The sequence below is a fragment of the Homo sapiens genome, chromosome 15, assembly GCF_000001405.40.
Source record: "Homo sapiens chromosome 15, GRCh38.p14 Primary Assembly".
NCBI classification, from domain to species: Eukaryota; Metazoa; Chordata; class Mammalia; order Primates; family Hominidae; genus Homo; species Homo sapiens.
The window spans coordinates 52067383-52089019 of record NC_000015.10 but is presented as its reverse complement, the minus strand read 5'-3'; the positions used below and the strand labels follow the sequence as shown (position 1 = coordinate 52089019).

General features: G+C 44.5%; 2 long non-coding RNA genes across 2 annotated transcripts in view, besides 1 other annotated feature; one reads left to right on the top strand and one right to left on the bottom strand.

Annotated features, from left to right (window-relative positions):
* The window catches only part of LOC112268150 (uncharacterized), a 44564-nt gene that overhangs the window by 11525 nt on the left and 11402 nt on the right, over positions 1–21637 (top strand). The window lies entirely within an intron of this gene.
* Positions 2445–8263, bottom strand: LOC124903494 (uncharacterized). The gene is made up of 2 exons (XR_007064637.1): positions 8052–8263; positions 2445–2703 (listed from the first exon to the last, which is right to left on the bottom strand). It is a non-coding gene; the product is annotated as an uncharacterized LOC124903494 (long non-coding RNA).
* Positions 11779–11858: an enhancer, noted in NCBI's record as "active region_9417". NCBI's record gives its function as "activates an Ori minimal core promoter by ATAC-STARR-seq in GM12878 lymphoblastoid cells {active_cell/tissue: GM12878}" and the evidence as "EXISTENCE:reporter gene assay evidence [ECO:0000049][PMID:35858748]".

The following is a 21637-nucleotide window of genomic DNA, read 5'->3' as shown; positions in this document are numbered from 1 at the left end:
AATAAATAAAAGTCCTGGCCAGGCGCGGTGGCTCACACCTGTAATCTCAGCACTTTGGGAGGCTGAGGCAGGTGGATCATAAGGTCAGGAGATTGAGACCATCCTGGCTAACGCAGTGAAACCCCATTAGTATCTCTACTAAAAATACAAAAAATTAGCCGGGCGTGGTGGTGGTTGCCTGTAGCCCCAGTTACTCAGGAAGCCAAGGCAGGAGAATGGCGTAAACCTGGGAGGCGGAGCTTGCAGTAAGCCGAGATCATACCACTGCACTCCAGCCTGGGAGACAGAGCAAGACACCGTCATGGAAAAAAAAAAAAAAAAGTCCTTGACCTCATGAAACCTATGTTGTAACTGGAAAAGACAGACAATGAATGAAATTAATAAATACAGTATGTCAGAAAGCAGTGTGTGCTATCAGAGGGAGGGGAAGAGAAGTGGAGTAAAGGGGATCAAGAGTAGGTAGGAAGGGGTTATCCTCATTGAAAAGATGAGATTTTTATAAACAGTTGAATGGAGTTAGCCAAGCAGATATCTGGGAGAAGAATATTCCAGGCAGATAGAAGAAAGAAGCATGCATGGTGTGTTGAGTGGTATAACGGCTAGTGTGGTCAGGAGCAGAATGAGCCAAAGGTACATGGCAGTCACTGAGGTGAGACAGGCAAGGGGCAGATCATGTATAGCCCTCAGGACTGTGGTGAGGACTTTGGCTCTCATTCTAGGAGGAAGGGAGAACTAATGCAGAGTTTGGAGCAGAGTGGTGATCTGATGTGACTTAAATTTTAAGTACTGTCCTTTGAGAATAGAGGGTGATGGGCAAGGGCAGAAACAGATTAGTAAGGAGGGGCTATTGTAATAACACAGGTAGTGAATGATCATGGCCGTCATCACAGCAGTGACACGTGTTCAAATTCTAGATATATTTAGAGGTTGGAAGTGATAGGATTTTCTGATGAATAAGAGACCGGAGTCAAAATGACAAGGATTTTGGCCAAGACAGCTGGAGGAACATAGTTGCCATTATGAGATGGAAAACACTAGGGAAGCAGAGGTGTCGGGGTAGGGAGAGGACATCAAGTTCAGATTTGGATTAACATAAAAGATTTGTGATTTAGGCCCAGTGCAGTGGCTCACGCCTGTAATCTCAGAACTTTGGGAGGCCGAGGTGGGTGAATCATTTGAGGTCAGGAGTTCGAGACCAGCCTGGCCAACATGGTGAAACCCCGCCTCTACTAAAATTACAAAAATTACCTGGGCATGGTGGTGGTCGCCTGTAGTCCCAGCTACTCTGAAGGCTGAGAATCGCTTGAACCCAGGCTGTGGAGATTGCAGGGAGCCAAGATTGTACCACTGCACTCCAGCCTGGGCAACAGAGCAAGACTCTGTCTCAAAAAAAAAAAAAAAAAAGATTTGTGATTTAAAGAATCATCTTGGGCTGAGGGACCGAGTACTAATGGGGAGACTTGTTGGGAGGCTGTGCAATATCAGTAGATCAGAGAAAAGAAGAGTCCAGCAAAGAAGACGAGGAAGAAGCAAGCAACTGAGGTAAGAGGAAAATCAAGAGTGTGATGTCCTAGGGAGCCCAAAAAGAGAAGGGCATCCATGCCATTCATTCCAAGATGGCCAGCTGCACTGTTTAGGTTCAGTAAATTACAATTGTACTTTCTTGAATAAACATATATATGTACAGTCATTAAACAACTTGGGTTTGAACTCTGTGGGTTCACTTATGTGCAGATTTTTTTCAACCAAATAGGAATAGAGGCCAGGTATGGTTTAAACCTTCACTGGAATTAAAGTTTGACTTAAAATGCCAGGCATACACATCTTATTCAATGCAGTTCTTCCCCATCACATACACTGAGTCCCTTAATTGCCCTTCAAAGAGAGTTTGGCCTTTCTAGTTCATCACTTGTCTTGAGCAGATAATCTCCCATAAGCCCCTGTTCTTCTCTGTCACTGTATCTGTCATCTATTGTCTGTAAGTCTATGCCCCCATCCAACACACGAACACATGTTAAGAAACTGGTGATAGTGGTGACTGAGAAAGGGAATATCATAGCTACAGACAGCCTCAGAGTTACATCATTCCAAAAAACCAAAGGCCAAAGAAAACATTTCTCAGCATATACAAGTAAAGATTTTTAGAGAGAGTCTCTGATTGGCCTTACTGGTCACATGCAAGTCACTGTAGCCAAGGAGATGGGGCAATGTGATTGGTCAGTAGAGTCATGTTCAGTCTTTGGCCAGGGGGTGGTAAGTACTGTGATTGGGAGGCCTTTTGAAGACCACAAGATGTCAGAGGATTCTCTAAGAGAAAGAGGTGATGTTACCAGAAGTGGGTAAGGAATGCTGGCATCCCAAACCAATAGATGTATACTGTTACAGGACCAACAGTTTTGTATGCCCACTGTGAAGTGACATACCAATATACCAAGACAGCAAGGTTTGCAGCAGAGAAAGCCTTTAATGATTGTAGGGTGGCTGAGCAAGGAGATGGAAGGAGACCCTCGAATCCATCTCTGAGGGGTTCTGGGCTGGGGTTTTTAAGAGAATTATGAAGGGCAAGGGGCTAGAAAATTGTGGTTGTTGATTGATCGAGGAAGGGGTATGAAAATCAGAACTTGGAAACTTTGTTCTTTGAGTCAACTGCTTGTGGGGTCCTTTAGACCAGCCGATGTCACTAGTTTCACTGGTATGCAAAACCTGAAAGAATATATCAAAGGGAAAACTTAATATTTCATAATGTTCAAGTTGTTATCTATAGAGCAGTTAAGGGGAACTATAGGGCTTATGTGATTATAGTATAAGAGGTACCAAACAACTATGAGGAAGTGGGTCAGAGAGCAAGCTGACTGAATGATTAATGCTGAATGTGCTGCAAGCATAGTTTATTTTTGTTTCTTTCTCCCCTTATTCCCAGATTAATTTTATAAAGTTTTGTTTGTTTGTTTGTTTGTTTGTTTGAGACGAAGTCTCACTCTGTAGCCCAGGCTGGAGTGCAGTGGCGCAATCTTGGCTCACTGCAAGCTCTGTCTCCCGGGTTCACACCATTCTCCTGCCTCAGCCTCCCAAGTAGCTGGGACTACAGGCGCCCACCACCACGCTTGGCTTATTTTTTGTATTTTTAGTAGACACGGGGTTTCACCGTGTTCGCCAGGGTGGTCTCAATCTCCTGACCCTGTGATCCGCCCACCTTGGCCTCCCAAAGTGCTGGGATTACAGGTGTGAGCCACTGCGCCTGGCCAATTTTATAAAGTTTATAGGGACAGTTTCATTAACAGAGTCCCATTCATTTATGCAACAAACATCCATGGAGAGCCTATATGGACCAGGTGCTTTACCAGGACATTTCATGTATGCCTATTTCAGCTAATTCTCTCAACAGCCCTGTGCAGTAAGAAATATTAAGAAATATGTTACAGGTGAAAAAATCAAGGCTCAAACTATATGCCACCCAAGATTGCAAAGCAAGCCATCTTTGGAGTTTTGACACAATGACTTATTTTCTGGCTTTAAGCCAAGATTCCTCCTGCTCTATTAATCAAGATTAGTCTATAGTTGTTAACTCTTCAGCAGGAGGCAGGAAAGGGCTAGCTAATAGGTGGTAGGAAGCTAGGAAGAGAAGATGAGTTGGAGGGTAAGGAAATCTGAGCTTGACCTCACCAGACCATCTCTAAAGCACATGTTAAATTCCAATAAGAAACTCAAAACACAGTTGGAAGGATCTCACTCTGCAGATCTCATGGTTTGGCTGCCCCATACCCATTCCCAACTTCTTTCTTTCTTTGACTCTACATTTGGAATTGGAAAAGCCAAACATTTGCATTCTCAGCCACCTTTGCAACTAAATGTGGCTCTGTGACACATTCTGGCCAATTATATATTAGCAAAAGTCTGTTGGGAGGTTCTGAGAAATCTTTTGCTTTTTTAATATAAAGGGATGAACAATACCAGCATGATCCTTTCTTCTCCTTGCCTTGAATATGGATTCATATGGATGAATATGTAATAGTAACAGATAATGTAGTATGAATATGTAACTGTAATAGTTGCCTTGAACTCATAAGGGAAAGGCAAAATAATCACAGATATTATCCCTGATATATATTTTTTATCCCTGATAATTTTTAGCCACTGAACCAACATCAGAAGCTGCATGTCTCCTGAATTTTTGCTACATAAGAAAAATGAATCTCTTCTTTTAATGGAGTTTTTTTTTTTTTTTTTTTGAGACAGAGTTTCCCTCTTGTTGCTCAGGCTGGGGTGCAATGGCGTGATCTTGGCTCACCGCAATGTCCACCTCCCGGGTTCAAGTGATTCTTCTGCCTCAGCCTCCCAACTAACTGGGATTACAGGCCACCATGCCTGGCTAATTTTGTATTTTTAGTAGAGATGGGGTTTCTCCATGTTGGTAAGGCTGGTCTTGAACTCCCAACCTCAGGTGATCCGCCCACCTTGGCCTCCCAAAGTGCTGGATTACGGGCGTGAGCCACCGTGCCTGGCCCAAGATTCTTTTTTTTTGAGACGGAGTTTTGCTCTTGTTGCCCAGGCTGGAGTGCAATGGCACAATCTCGGCTCACTGCAGCCTCCACCTCCCAGGTTCAAGAGATTCTCCTGCCTCAGCCTCCTGAGTAGCTGGGATTACAGGCATGCGCCAGCATGCCTGGCTGATTTTTTGTATTTTTAGTAGAGACAGGGTTTCTCCATGTTGGTCAGGCTGGTCTCAAACTCCCAACCTCAGGTGATACGCCCACCTTGGCCTCCCAAAATGCTGGGATTATTAGGCCTGAGCCACCGTGCTCTGCCCAAGATTCATTTTTAATAAGGCTCTAGACAGAATGATTTTTTTTTTCTGTTACTTGCAGCCAAATATCCTCCTAACATACATGTCTGCTGGCAGTAGGTGCTTGACCAATGTTTGGCTGAATTCAATGTTTATTTGGAGATGAGAGCTTTGAGCTCATGGATGTCATGTCTGCAATCATGTCATCTCTGAGTGGGGAAAAACTGAATATCTTCTTGGTGTCTTCAGAATATCTGTAGAAAGGGATTAGGAAAACCAAGAAGAGCTTTTCTTGAAGGGAAGCAAATGAAGATACCAGAGGAGCTTGGGGAGAACAAGAAAATATCAGCGTCATGGCAATGAAAGAACACCTGAAACCTCACCACACTCAATGCCACGTTTTCTCTTTACAAGCTCAGAGTTTTATAGTATTTGGACAACAAGGGGAGGCATCTGTTAAAGCGGCAGGAGAGAAAAAGACCCAAGAGGTCTGGCAGAGGTTGTCTCTAAAGCACAGTTGTATCCATGTGTGCTACTTCCTTGTTATATATGTTGAACCAAAATAATAATCACCCTGTAATCTGTGCTCCCGAGGTAGATCATCCTGGAATGAAGGTTTTAACAGAGAGCAAAAGAATGAGTAAAAAATAAAGCTTATTTTATTCTAAAAATCAAACATTGAAGCTTTCTAAAAACAAATGCAGTTCAGCATGATTGTAATTATATGTTTCCATTGCCCCAAAAAATCAAGCAGCTAGAGCAAGAGTAAATTTGATTTAAAAGATATGTATTTAGCACCAATTACACATTCAGAACAGACCCCATCTGGCTAAGAAGTTGGTTTCCTACTGAAAAATCAGGTCAGATAAAGAGAGAGGAGGGCTATCACCCACTCACAGGATTGTGTCATTCAGGTACCTTTAGAAACTGGAGTTTTCCCCAGTGGAGATAGACCAGCTATTCAAGGGGAGAAGAGCATTTCTCAGAATCAGTTGTCAGGGCTGGGTGTGGTGGCTCACACCTATAATCCCAGCACTTTGGGAGGCTGAGGTGGGCAGACCACCTGAGGTCAGGAGTTCAAGACCAGCCTGGCCAACATGGTGAAACACTGTCTCTACAAAAATAGAAAAAGTAGCTGGGCATGATGGCAGGTGCCTGTAATCCCAGCTACTCAGGAGGCTAAGGCGGGAGAATTGCTTGAACCTGGGAGGCAGAGGTTGCAGTGAGCAGAGACTGCGCCATTGCACTCTGGCCTGGGGGACATGGTGAGACCCAATCTCAAAAAAAAAAAAAAAAAGGAAATCAGTTGTCAGGAGGGAGAAGTTGGGTATTCTGTGGTTTGACAACTCTCACAAGTGCAGTCTTTACCACAGCTATTTATATTTTTAAAGCTGCTTTCCAGTAACTGAGCAAACCCTCAAGGTTGGCAATTGTCCTGGGAGGCCTGCAACTACCAAGACCCTTCTGCCGAGGCTCACAGCTGGCTCCACCAGGAGGTGGGAGGTGTGGTGAGCTGGATTTTTAAAAGGGGCCAAAAGATAGTAAAAAGCAATGTAGTGAGGGAGGGAGGGAGTACCCCATAGGCTGAATACAGCCTGGTTACCTGACACAGTCTGGGCCACAGCCTGGGACATGCCAGGCATCTGTGCTGCCTGATGAGGGGCACTCAGACACAGCCCTGCTCTCCCAACACAACCTGCTGCTGGGAGCTGCAGAGATGAGAAGCAGCTCTCAAACAAATTCTAAGTAACTCTGGCTCTCTTTTTGTGTGGGATAGGTAATGCACCCTAGGCTGTTGCTTGCAGTGAGGTAGAGCGCTAAGCAGTCCCCAGGAGCCCTGGATATGCAGCGGCAGAAAGGCTGCCTTTGCCTCTAGACTCACAGTGTTGGTCTTCTGGGAACCCAGCATGCTTGGCTTGCTGCTTTTCTGCTCCTAAAGGAGAGAACAATGGAGAACAGAGGCACCTGGGCATCTCAAGATGGCCGGTATGTTTCCTCCTTTGAGCAGAATTTAAATTCTCTCTCAACCTGAACTCTTCATCTGTTGAAGCCAGAGATTCCAATTACTTATTCATTTATACTTATGTAGAATTGGGTCCCTGTAATTTTTTTTTTTTTTTTTTTTTTACAACTCAGTCTTTTTTTTTTGAGATGGAGTTTTGCTCTTGTTGCCCAGGCTGGAGTGCAATGGCTCAATCTCGGCTCACCGCATCCTCCGCTTCCCAGGTTCAAGCGATTCTCCTGCCTCAGCTTCCAGAGTAGCTGGGATTACAGGCATGTACCACCATGCCTGGCTAATTTTGTATTTTTATTAGAGATGGGGTTTCTTCATGTTGTTCAGGCTGGTCTCGAACTCCAGCCTCAGGTGATCCACCCGCCTCGGCTTCCCAAAGTGCTGGGATTACAGGCATGAGCCACCGCGCGCAGCCAACTCAGTCTTCTTTATATCCAAGTTTCTCAAATTCCCAGCTTATATAACAGCATATCTTTAAAATATATTTAAAATACAGGCCGGGGGCAGTGGCTCATGCCTGTAATTCCAGCACCTGGGGTGGCCAAGGTGGGCGGATCACTTGAGGTCAGGAGTTCGAGACCAGCCTGGGCAAAATGGCAAAATCCCATCTCTACTAAAAATACAAAAAGTAGCCGGGCATGGTGGTGGATGCCTGTAATCCCAGCTACTCTGGAGGCTGAGGCAGGAGAATTGCTTGAACCTGGCAGGCAGAGGTTGCAGTGAGCCAGATTGTACCACTGCACTCCAGCCTGGGTGACAGAGCAAGACTCTGTCTAAATTTAAATATATATATGTATATATATTTAAATATTTATAATAGGCTGTATAAATGACTCAATACTTCATGTCGCCATCTAAAATTACCATTATGATTCTACACCTCTGCTGGAGGGAATGGAAATTGGTATAGTCACTTTTTCTTTTAATATTTTTAGACTTTTTTTATGAACAATTTCAAAAATGCAAATTTAGAGAAAATAACATAGTGACTCCCTCACATACCCATCACCCAGCTTAAATCATCATCAACTAACAGCCAATCTTGTTACATGTCTACCCACACTCACTCCCCATCTCTTCCTATGAGCAAAGCTCAGCCTCTCCAGGCAAGTGCCTGAGTCCTCTGATATGAGCACAGTGGTCTTCAATATGTTCCTCGCTTTCTGGTATGACAGGATGTTCCAGGTTCATCCCGTACCTTTGCTGCCCCAGACTAGAATGAGCTGTTTCCTTTCCGTGGAGAATAGTACTTACAGAACATAATCTGGGTTCCTGGGGTGCTATTCTTCCTAGGATGGTCACTGTTGCTAGGTTACGATGCCCACTTTGGAGTTCTTCTCAGGGTCTGTTAGACACTTAGACTCGCATGACTACAGCATGACATGCTTGGCACTAACTATTTATTTTGAGATGGAGTTTTGTTCTTGTTGCCCAGGCTGGAGTGCAATGGTGAATCTCGGCTCACTGCAAACTTCACCTCCCGTATTTGAGAGATTCTCTTGCCTCAGCCTCCCGAACATCTGGGATTACAGGAGTCCGCCACCACACCCGGCTGATTTTTTGTATTTTTAGTAGAGACAGGGTTTCATCATGTTGGCCAGGCTGATCTCGAACTCCTGATCTCAGGTGATCTACCCGCCTCAGCCTCCCAAAATGCTGGGATTATAGGCGTGAGCCACCGTGCCTGGTCTAACTTAATTTAGAATAAGGATGCAAAGGCATGAAACAGCACTCCAACTGCATGATGGCAGGTGTCTCTCTAGCTCCTTTTCCTCAAGTAGGGTTGCCAGATAAAATACAGGATACCCAGGTAAACTGAAATGTCACATACATAGCAAATTAAAGCCTTATTCCAATGAGAAACTGATATTTCTAGTAAGAGTCTCATGGGAATAGCTTCCTTGTCTCCTCAAGGGGCGTGCCGAGCTCCAAGAGTCAAGATTCAGAACTCCAGAGCCACAGCTTCCCACCAGGTACTTATGATTCATTCACGGCCCTCGCTGTCCAGATGAAGTGGATCATTTTTACCACAAGCATTGTTGCTTGGTAACACAGCCAACGTTCCACCTTTATCAGGTTTCCAGGAGAACAGAGCTAGAAAGAAAATGCCAAGAGAATGAGAAATGAAGTTTTAAGATTAATTATTAGAGGGACTATTTTTTTAATGAGAAATGAGGATTTTTTTTTTTTGCCCTCTACATATATAGGCCTTTTTACTGGTCAGAGCTAGGAATGTAGAGAGATAGTTGGTAGGTAGGTAGATAAATGATGGATATTGAGATTAATAATATGCAAAATTATAATCAGCCTAGATGACTTACAAGAGGTGAATGGTAAAATAAATCATGATATAACAAAAGGGTGGAATATTATATGCTCTTGTTGATTACATAGGTTTACAAATAATTTTTAAAGATGAAAAACAGCAGATTTATATAATCTTAAGTCATCTTCTCACAAATGCTTATTTAGTACCTACTGTGTGCTTCGAGCTATTCTAGGCATTTGGGGTGCATCATTGAACAAAACTGACAAGGATTCTGCCTTCTTGGTGCTTATATTGAGGGGCGATTGAGAGATGCACAGTAAACATGATACATAAGGAAACTGTATAGAGGGGAAAGGTGGTAAGTGTTGAAGAAAACAAAAGTAGAACAGGATAGGGAAGCTGGGGTGCCAAGGTGTTGGGGGAGGGCAGGCTTCAAGGCTTCAGGCTGAGTAAGGCGGGGGGTGTTCAAGGCCAGAGGGCTCAGCCACGGTCTGGAGGAGGCATGGCCTCAGCCGCCAAATTTATATTTTAACTTCTATGTTATGTATACCCATACGTAGATTTTTTACATATTTCATATATTTTCATAGAAAAGGGACTAGATAAAACACCAAAATGTCAACAGTGGCTGTCTGTGGAAGGTAGGGTTGTGGTAATTTTTTTTAATGGGATCTTTTTTATAATTTGCCTCACTTGCTAAATTTTATGACATGAATAGGCACAGTTTTATTATCAGTAATAAAGCACATGCATTATTACGTGTTTTTAAAAGCAGAGCGAATCTACTCTCTAATCTTAGGAAGAGTTTTCTGTCAGGGGCAACGTGTGGTTTGCAGGCAAGGAGCGGCACTTGACCTCTCTGAGGAGAAGGCGTTCTTCCACAAGGGGGCGCCTGGCTTTAGGGCAAGGAGGAGACTGAGCTCTGATTTTGGGAGTGGGGTTTTAGGGGAGGAGTGTGCCATGGGTACATCTTGGGTGTAGCTCCACCAGTGCGCCTAAGAACCACACTCAAAGTGGTTTGAAAGCTTTTGGCCCTCTAATGCCTGCCTCTTTGGTCACTGATAACATACAAGTCGATGTTCCCTGAACTCAGCCGGTAGAGTATAGGAGGTTTGCACTCCGTAAATGCAAGGAGGAAGAGTGTTCTCCTCGTCCTTGCAGGGAGTTCACATCCAACCAGAGAGACCAGACTCAGGGTTACCCATGTACGGTGCAAAGACCTGTGGGGCAAGGGAAGACCCCAGGGAGACCAATACATGCAGAAGCAAATGTGAGTCGGTGAGAGGTCCTCAGATGCTTGGAAGATGAGTGCATGCAGAGGGAAGGGACCTGGGGCAGGAGAGCAGATAGAGGTGGAGAGATGCCAAGGCCGGTTGTGTGGGGAGACATAGATAGTGCTGGGAAAAGCAATCAACCTGATGACACTGGGGATTTTGCAACCTAATGACCCCAAGGACTAAATTGCCAGGAATTGCACTCCTGGCCCAGGTCTCTTAGCAAACCTGACCTATGTGAACCCAAAGAGGAGTCCGTGGCTCACAGCCAGTTTGGCTTGCAAGTTTTCTGGTCTGAGGGAAGCTGGATGCATCCCCCACCTCCACTAACAAGGCTTGCTTCACTGCGTGCCTGGGAAAACCGGGGGACAGGCCCTGGCCAGAGGACTGCGAAACAAAGCTGGATAAGACATACCCCCAAGGGAAAATGTACCTTGTACCAACACAAGGTGCTATGGGGAGAGAGAAGAGAACCACCCAACCCAATCTGAGAGGTCAGGGAGGGCTTCCTGGAGGACATGGCACTTGAGCTAATCAGGAAGGACATTTGAGAGTTTTCAGAGAGGAAAGGGTTCCATGCAGAGGGGACACTACGGTAGCAAGAGAGAATGGGCCATCTATCCATGCAAGTAGCTCAGTATGTCTGGAGCCTGGGGTGAGTGTGTGGAAGTGATAAGAGATGATGCCGGGTCAGGCGCGGTGGCTCACACCTGTAATCTCAGCACTTTGGGAGGCCGAGGTGGGTGGATCACAAGGTCAGGAGATGGAGACCATCCTGGCTAACATGGTGAAACCCTGTCTCTACTAAAAATGGAAAAAATTAGCCGGGCGTGATGGCAGGTGCCTATAGTCCCAGCTACTCAGGAGTCTGAGGCAGGAGAATGGCGTGAACCCGGGAGGCGGAGCTGGCAGTGAGCTGAGACGGCGCCACTGCACTCCAGCCTGGGTGACAGAGCAAGACTCTGTCTCAAAAAAAAAAAGAAAAAAAAAAGATGATGCCAGAACGAAGGATACTCTATCTGAAAGGCACTGGGGAGTCTTAAAGGATGTTAAATAGTGGAGTTACCTGATCATGGACACGGAAGTTTGCTAAAGTCACCAATGATCTTTCTGTTGCCAAGTCCATTGTGTATCTTTTAGTCAGCTTCATATGTGAATTCTCTCAGCAGCATTTGATCCTGCTGGCCTCCCCCTCCAGGCTGAAGCACTTTTGTCTCTTGACTTCTGAGTCCTGTTCTCCTGATTTTCTGTCTACTTCTTTCATCACTTCTTCTTGGCTTCCCTTGCTGACTGTGCCTCCTGTCTCTGGCCTCTGACTGTTAGTGTCCTACAGGGGTCAGTCCTGGTTCCTTCTCACCATTCACTCTTGTTCTCAACCACCTCATTTCTTCCCATAGCTTCACATGCATCTATTACATGTGATCGTATCAGGGGAAGGGGAATACAGAATCAAGCTTGAAGGCCCTGTCTCCTGGGTGTCATGGCTGAGTGAGACATGTTCAGACTGAATCGTGAGCAGTTGTGGGATGAGTCAGGATGAGTTGTTCAGGGATAAGCAGAAACATGTATTAGAGGCTGACAAGTTGCTGATTAGTATAGTTGGTGCCCTGGATCTGAAAGAAAGCAGCATCCAGGACTCGCTGTTCCCAAGGGTAGAGGGGAGGGGTGGACACTGTAATATACATTAAAAAGCCAAGTCCAAGGTCTGAGAAGAACACGAAAGCAGGGAGGGGCAGGGAAGATGGGCAGGCGTGGCAGGGCAAGCGGACTCCAAAGTCCAGAGAGACACCAGAGTCAGGGACCCAGGACCACTGGATCCAGGGGATAGATTGAGGAGTGACTGCTAGTGGGGACAGGGTTTCTTTTAGGGGATATGAAAGTTTTCTGAGATCAGAGTGTGGTGATGGTTGCACAATCTTGTTAATATAGTAAAAAGCATGTCACTGTATACTTTAAGGGCAAATTGTATGGTATATGCATTATATCAAAATTAAGCTGCTAAATACATTTGAGGTGGGCCAGGCACAGTGGCTCATGCCTGTAATCCTAGCACTTTGGGAGGCCAAGGTGGGTGGATCACTTGAGGCCAGGAGTTTGAGACTAGGCTGGCCAACATGGTGAAACCGCATCTCTACCACGAATACAAAAATTAACCAGGTATGGTGGCACATGCCTGTAATCCCAGCTACTTGGAAGGCTGAGGCAGAAGAATCACTTGAACCCGGGAGGCAGAGGTTGCCATGAGCTGAGATCGTGGCACTGTACTCCAGCCTGGGTGACAGAGCCAGCCTCTGTCTCAAAAATAAATAATCTGAAGTGGATTACAGATATAAATCTACAACATTAAATATAGAAGACTAGTTCAATAATTTTGGTATGGGGAAGGCCATCCCAAGTATGGCTATATAAAAGACAATATTAACAGATTGAGCTACATTGAAACAAACAAAAAAAACTTTGTGAAAGACACAAGAAAAAATATTTATCATGGACTTTTGCAACCTGTGTGACATATTTAGAGAGGGTTCTTTAGAATCATTATGAGGCCGGGTGCGGTGGTTCAGCCTGTAATCCCAGCACTTTGGGAGGCCGAGGTGGGCAGATCACGAGGTCAGGAGTTCGAGACCAGCCTGGCCAACTAACATGGTGAAACCGTGTCTCTACTAAAACTACAAAAATTAGCCAGGCGTGGTGGTGTGTGCCTGCAGTCCCAGCTACTCGGGAGGCTGAGGCAGGAGAATCGCTTGCAGTGAGTCAAGATCGCGCCACTGCACTCCAGCCTGGGCGATAGAGTGAGACTCCATCTGGGGGGAAAATACATATATAAATATATATATATAATATAAATATATGTATATATAAAAATATATATATAATATAAATATATGTATATATAAAAAATATATATATATATTTAAAATATGAACTCCCTGATAATATGCAGCACTGGCCAGAGTGGGGAAAAGTGGGTACTTGGGTGGAGAAACAGACTGTGGATATAAATTGGTCCAGCCATTTAGAGGACAATTTGGTATCCAGGAGTGAAATGCACAACATTTCCGACGGGTGTGACACAGCCTGGGTCAGAAGCACCAGCTGACAATAACCCATCTGCTGCACTGGGGCAGACAGGCTAAAAGCCTGTGGGAGATCCACTGAAATGTTCAGCATAAACCAACTCTGTTCCAGAGTTTCTGCTTCTAAAAGCATATCCTCAGAAATGGCTCAAAGACACACAAAGAATGTTTATTACAGTGTTGCTTGTGATAGTAAACAATGTCCGCTCATAGGAAATTGGTTCTACAAATGATGATGCATCCTCATAATTACATACTCTACAGGCATTAGAAACAACAAAGTCAATTACTACCAACATAGAAAGATGCTTGAAATGTATTGTGAGAAAAGAAAGTTGCAGAACAGTAAGCAGAATAACCCAATTATAAGTACATATATGTTTGTATATACATTTGAAAAATTCTGGATAAATGTATAATAAACTATTAACGTTGGTTACCTGTGGAGATAGGGATATTTGGAGGGGAGAGAATATAGAGGGAGGGAAAAGAGGAAATTATTTTATGCATCTTTGAATGATTTTTACCTTTTGTATATGAAAAAATAAAGCAATTAGCTTGGAAGGAGTGGAGGGGAAGAGGAAAGACCCAAAATATTAATAGTAATTAACAGTGATCATACCCAGGTAATGGGATTCTGGGGAATTTTTCCCACTTCCTTACCTGCATTTTCTAGTTTCTCAACAATGAGCTTTTATTTCTTTTTCTTTTTTTTTCTTTTTTTTTTTTCTTTTGGAGACAGAATTTCACTGTAGTTGCCCAGGCTGGAATGCAGTGGCAAGATCTTGGCTCACTGCAACCTTCACCTCCCAGGTTCACACAATTCTCCTGCCTCAGCCTGCTGAGTAGCTGGAATTACAGGCACCCACCACCATGCCCGGCTAATTTTTATATTTTTTAGTAAAGACGGGTTTGCCATGTTCTCCAGGCTGGTCTCAAATTCCTGACCTCAGGTGATCCGCCTGCCTCGGCCTCCCAAAGTGCTGGGATTATAGGCATGAGCCACCACGCCCGGCCCACTTTCTTAAAAGTTAGAAATAAAACAATGTCCTCATGCTTTTCTGCTCAGCAGCTGGACAGATAAGGAAAGCCCTGGTGATGCAGGGGTGCAGGAGACAGATTCTAAATAGTGAAGCCATTTAGAAGATAGTGCTAAGGGAGTTGGTGATGGAAATATTTATAAAAATGAAACACCCTAAGTCACATATTTAGTATCATGTTAGTGTCCTTGTTAAGTCCTCTCTGAGACATCATAACATCAAACTTTAATGTATATTTTGTGAAACATGGACTTGAACCTCTATAGTTCTTTTATGCTAATTGGTCATTATGAACAATAGAACCCAAATGACATCTGAATGCAGATGGTACATAAATTAACATTTGTTAGAAGTCTTAGAACCCCGTTGTCTTTTCTCCTGTTGAGCATGATGGTAGCTAAATCAAGGACTCAGGCAGGTTCTTTGTCTTAAAGCAGTATGTACAAGAATGTTGATTCCAACATTCTCATTTTTGAAAAACAATCCTTTAATATCTGCAAAGTGTATATGTGTGTGCATGTGTGTATATACATACACATATGTATAAAATAGGAGCACTGTGTTAGGATAAATATGATTACCTGGCATGTATGGTGGGGTTTTCTGATAGTGAGGGAAGTAGTAGGCCGGTCATGATAGCTCATGCCTGTAATCTCAGCACTGTGGGAGGTCATGGCCAAGGTGGATCACCTGAGGTCAGGAGTTCAAGACCAACCTGACCAACATGGCGAAACTCCATCTCTACTAAAACTACAAAAATTAGCCAGATGTGGTGGCAGGCACCTGTGGTCCCAGCTACTTGGGAGGCTGAGGTGGGAGGATGACTTGAGCCTGGGAGGCGGAGGTTGCAATGAGCCAAGATTGTGCCACTGCACTCCAGCCTGGGCAACAAAGTGAGACTCCATCTCAAAAAAAAAAAAAAAAAATAGATTTAGCACATCTTTGAGGTTTTATGTTATGATTTGCAGGTCTTGTTCTAGGTGTTGAGGTCCATCAGTGAACAACTCTGACAAAGATTCCTACCCTCATGGAGCTTACGTTCTAGAAGATAATAAACCATGAACAGAATATAGTTGGTAAATCATAAATTACCCAACTGTGATGTATAAAGAAATTAGCCAGGCACAGTGGCTCACGCCTGTAATCCCAGCACTTTGGGAGGCCGAAGCGGGCGAATCACATGGTCAGGAGATCAAGACCATCCTGGCTAAACGGTGAAACCCCGTTTCTACTAAAACTACAAAAACTTAGCCGGGCGTGGTGGCGGGTGCCTGTAGTCCCAACTACTCAGGAGGCTAAGGCAGGAGAATGGCGTGAACCCGTGAGGGAACCCGGGAGTGCAGTGAGCCAAGATCACACCACTACTGCACTCCAGCCTGGGTGACAGAGCGAGACTCCGTCTCAAAAAAAAATAAGTAGTGCCAGGCACAGTGGCTCATATCTGTAATCCCAGCACTTGGAGGAATGCTTAAGACTAGGAGTTTGAGACTAGCCTGAGCAATATGGTGAGACCCTGATGCTACCAAAAAAAAAAAAAAAAAAAAAAGGGACACCTGTTTTAGAAGATTACCTGGGAGTAGTGGCACACACCTGTAGTCCCAGCTACTCGGGAGGCTGAAGCAGCCAATATCACTTGAGCCCAGGAGTTCAAGGTTGCAGTGAGCTATGATCGTGCCATTATATTCCAACCTGGGTGACAGAGTGAGACCCTGATTCTAAAAAAATTAAAATTTTAAAATCAGTAAGCTGGGTGCAGTGGCTCACACCTGTAATCCCAGCACTTTGGGAGGCTGAGGTAGGCTGATCACTTGAGGTCAGGAGTTGGAGACTAGCCTGGCAAACATGGTGAAACCCCGTCTCTACTAAAAATATAAAAATTAGCCAGGCGTGATGGCACGACCCTGTAATCCCAGCTACTTGGGAGGCTGAGGCAGGAGAATCACTTAAACCCAGGAGGCAGAGGTTGCAGTGAGCTGAGATTGCTCCATTGCACTCCATCCTGGCTGACAGACTCTGTCTCAAAAAAAAGACAAGTTGGTAACATCAATGCCTGGAGGACCCCAGTAGGTCTGGCTGGAGAAGCAGTGCCCTACAGAATAATATGTCTGACAACTGACTATAAGAAAAATAAGCAGGAAGAGATAATTTATTGCCATGTGTTGCAGGTACATTTGGAGACAGCCAGCTAAAAATGATTCTCCTACCTGCCTTCCATTCCCTATCAACAAGGGTTGACTCCCAATAGCAGCAGCAATCCCTCAACATAACCCTGCCACCTGGCCATAGCTAACTAGACTAGTGGGAGGGCCAATATGATTTGCTTTCAGAGAAACCTTGAATTGGGAGAGAGAAATAGGCAGAGGGATGGACAGACAGAAGAACTCTATATAGCTGGAGGGTTACCATTTGAAGTTGAAGCTGTAAGTAACCGTCTTCTAGCCACTGTTGGGATCAGAAGCCCAGCTGGCTGAAAAAGAACAGAGCAGAGATGAGATGCAGAGTCCTGCTTGGGCTGCTGGTGCTCCCCCACCCCTGGCCTGGTTCTGGTTCTTCCTGAGATCCAGTTCTTGGGCTCCACAAATCACACTTGAATCCTGAGAAATTTACTGTTTTTGCAAAGGCTACCGTGAGGTGGTTTCTTTTGCCGCAGATCCTGAGTTAGATGTATAATCTAGGCTTGGTTCAGCTGGCAGGGCTACGAATAGCAATAGCGCAGAGGCAGTTGAAAACCAAACTGCATGGCGCTGTCTTAACTGGGTCACGAGTATGTTGTGCAATCCTAACAGGTACAGTCAACCCAGCAAGGAGAACAGGGAAGCAGTTGAGCAGCTGACTCAGGAGCAGTACAATCGTTCACCTAAACTGCACCTACACGCGACAATGCAATTAAGGATAATAAACCAGCCCAACCAGCCTTACATATTCCGAGAATTTCTAACTGCTCTTGGGATTGCAACTTGGAGCTTGCTGGTTCAGGAGAGTGACATCTAAGGAATCCCAAAGTTAGATAACCCTTTGCAAATTACACAAAGTTGGAGAACTACGAATACTATAACCCAAAAACTAATAAGCAAACCCCAGCCCTATCTACAGAGCTTCACTGTTCCAGAGCACCATCATTCCAGAGGGAATTTACAAACGAGACAGTCAGCATTAGTTTCCTTCATGCCTTCATTCAGTAAACACAGTGTGCTCACCATGTCCCACACCCTGTGTCAGGGGCTGGGGATAGAGCCAAAGTTCCTGCTTCAAGAAGCTTATATTCTAACAGGGGAAGACAATCTGTAAATAAAGATATATCACATCAGTGGTTATGTGCTGGAAGGCAAAATCAAGCGGGGCAGGGGCATATGAGTGATGGGATGCATGCTATTTTATATGCGCTGGTCAGGCACAGCCTCTGTGATAAAGTGACATTTGAGCAAAAACTTTTTTTTTTTTTTTTTTTTTTTGAGATGGAGTCTCACTCTATCGCCCAGGCTGGAGTGCAATGGCGCTATCTCTGCTCACTGCAAGCTCTGCCTCCTGGGTTCACGCCATTCTCCTGCCTCAGCATCCCGAGCAGCTGGGACTACAGGCGCCCGCCACCACGCCCAGCTAACTTTTTGGTAGAGATGGGGTTTCACCGTGTTAGCCAGGATGGTCTCGATCTCCTGACCTTGAACAAAAACTTCTAATGAGGGAGGGAGGGAGTGATGCAGCTCTCTGGGCCAAGAGCTTTCGAGGCAGCCAGAAGAACATGTAAGAAACCCTAAGGTGGGAGCAACTGTGGCCCAGTGCTGTTGAAGCCATGCAAGCGCAGGAGGGGGCAGTGGAGAGGTGCCTGTGAGCCTCGGTAAAGACATTGATATTTACCCTCAGGAGGGGGAGTCATTCAAATTTTGAGAAACTAGAGGAGTGATGTGGTTTGACTTAGGACTTACAAGGATGACTCTGCTGTACTGACCATAAACTGCATGGTGGCCAGTTAGGAGGCTATTGGCATGGTCCAGCAGACTGGGATGGTGGACTGGATCACAAGGCAGCGATAGAGATGGTGAAAAGTGGTCAGATTCTGGATATGGCCATGGGATTCACTGATGGATTGGATGTGAGTTTTCAGAGAAAGGAGTCTAAGATGACTCCAAGGCTTTTGGCTTCTAAATGAAGATGCTTGTTCTGGGGGGTGGGGTGGGGGAAGCAATTGCAGACTCATGGGCTCAGTCTAGTCTTTTGGAGTCTGAGAGCTGCTACACTTAATTTGTTTGGGCAATGGTTTGACTGGTGAGAAAGGACCAGAAGCTGGAGCCAAAAGTTGGATAGAGCTGGTGGGCACTATGGCTAGAGCAAGAAGCCATCTGTAGGTCAAGGCCAGAAGTTTAGATTGATAGGAGAATGCAATACTGAAGGCAGCGTCAAGGTCAGAATCCAGTGTTCAGTACAATTTGGGTGGCATGGGCAGTAATTCAAACAGGACAAGGGCAATGGTGATTTATTAAGTACCAGGCATCATGCTAAAAAGGCTTTGTGTACAGTATCTCATTAAATTCTTACAACTCTACGAATTAGGTATCATTAGCTCTACTTGACAAATGAGGAAAATCAAAAGGTTGAATAACCTCTACAAGGCCACAAGGCTTGTAAGCAGAAGAACAGTTTTAAGCTTTGATTTGATCTGACTCCGAAGCATGTGTGCCTAAACACTATGCAATGCTGCATGCAAGGTTCAATGTCCCAGCTGGCAGCTGAGGTTGCCTCAGAGGTTCAAGTCAGGAGGGTGTGGGATTGGTAAGTCCGGGTGGAAGCAGAGTCTAAATGTACAGACGTGGATCCAAGTTTGTGGTTTACATTGGGCATGAAGAAACAGGCTTGGACTGGACTTTGAACCAGGAGACTGGGAGCAGCATCTCAAATCTGGCACCGGCGTTCCCACTCACCCAGCTACAACAGCACTAAGACCTAATTAAGCAAGATGATGCAGAGGCTGACAATTGTAATGGAAAGTCAGTATTCTGCTTAGCTAGGTTTGTAACACTACCACTGTATTATACTAAGATAAACATGCGAATCCAGTGGAGTTTCTTTGTTAGAGCTCTGCATTATAACTGAAACAGTGCTCTAACGTGGATGATCAAACACCCTTCCCTTCTGTAAGATATTTGTTACATAGATGTTGGAATCTATGTTGAAAGAGCTCACAAAGATCCTTCTCTTCACCTGGCTTAATTAAGGAGACTGCCCTAGATCCTACAGGAAAGAGCTTAGTGAGTTTACACTGCTCTTTCAAAGGCAAACAACCCTGGAGTTCTAATACTTTTGCCTTTTCCTCTACCTGTCAACTGGTAAACGTGCACTGAACACAAAATTTCATTCTCAATCTGCTTAAAAGGCACATTTAATGCAGCCAGTTCAATAAAGATATTATAGAAATAAGATCTATAAGCAAGCACATCCTGGCAAGAGCTAATCGCTGTGCTATTATAATGGGTTAGAATTGAGTAAGACAGTGTCTGGTTCAGAAGTTGTTCCAGGTCAGTATCGAGTAATACGCATTTCTAGTTGAATAAGGAACTTAGGCTCACCAAGATCGTGACACCCAAATGACAGAGAGTCAGTGGTAAAACTGGGTCCAGAACTCAGATCTCCTGATTTCCGGTTCAATCTTCTTTCTTCTCTACTCAGAAGGTACTAGGATCTGAATGATAAACAATGCTCACATGGAGAGGCATCAGGTAAAACTGCAATTGATTAATATGCCATACATGATGAACCTACTTAGGGTAGAGCTTCTATTGATTTTTAATTCAATAGTAAACAGGTACTGAAAAGGCTGGGAGCAGGTCAGCGGTTCAGACAACGGTCCACTTGCTGACTAGATCACTAACTAAATGTGCTCTATATAAAACACACCAAAGTATCAAATGGAAAACAGTGCTTGCAAATAATTTCATAACCAATACTATGCAGGTGTCTTAACTGAGAAGCAAAGGTGATGTTTGCTTGGATTTTATTTGAAAACCCGATTTGATTCATGATCTACTTCTCCTTAGGTATGGACCCCAGTGTAATGACATAATTGGCTCAGCCTTTAAGATTTAAAGCCTCTGTTCCCAAGCTGCAGTGGCTGGAGCAATAGGAAATGAGAAACAAGGCAATCTCACATTGAAGTGGCTACTTAAGGATCCCTAAGGTGTAGTCATGATTTCCAGCCATGCAGTTGTTTGGAATTAGAAATCCTGATTCCTACTGTAAACTGAACATTGCAAAGCTGGTAGGATTAATTCAATGGAAGAAACTTGGTTTCTTGCTTGGAGGCATGTGGATGAATAAGAACTCTTGTGCATTGCTGGCAGGAATGTGAGTCAGTACAATCACTTTTGGACAGGGACATGGCATCTTCATAGACTTGAAGATATGTAGCAACTCTACTCCTATGTATCTGCCCTAAAGACACTCTTACACATGTTCACAAGAATTCTCACTGCAAAGATGTTGGTAGAAGCAAAATTTTGGAAGATGTCATTTAAGAAATACGTTGTGGTGTAGCAATTAAAACTAAAGCTATCAGGCAAATGATAAAATAGAGCAGGGGTGGCCATACTCATGTCAGAAAAAAATGCTTTACCGCCAGGCACAATGGCTCACACCTGTAATTCCAGCACATTGGGAGGCTGAGGAAGATTGCTTGAGCCCAGGGGTTCAAGACCAGCCTGGGTGACATGGGGGAGACCCTGTCTCTATAAACAAATTTTAAAAGTACTATAAAAAATGTAAAAACTAGCTGGGCATGTTGATTCATGCCTGTGGCTCCAGCTACTCAGGAGGCTGAGGCAGGATTGCCTGAGCCTGGGAAGTCAAGGTTGCAGTGAGCTATGATCATGTCACTGTACTGCAGCCTGGGCCAGAGAGTAAGACCCTGTCTCAAAGGAAAAAAACAGTCAAAAACTGTGACAAGAGACAGAGTAGAGAACCCAGAAATAAATTCTCATCTATATGGTCAAATGATCTTTAACAAAGGTGCCAGCTACTCCTAGGTACTCAAGAGGTTGAGGTGGGAGGATCACTTGAGCCTAGGTTCAAGGTTGCAGTGAGCTGTGATCACACCACTGCACTTCAGCCTGGGTGGCAGAGAAAGAAAGACTTTGCCTCTTGGAGTATTTCATCTTCATTACCCTATAAAGATACTTTGATTGCAAGTGGA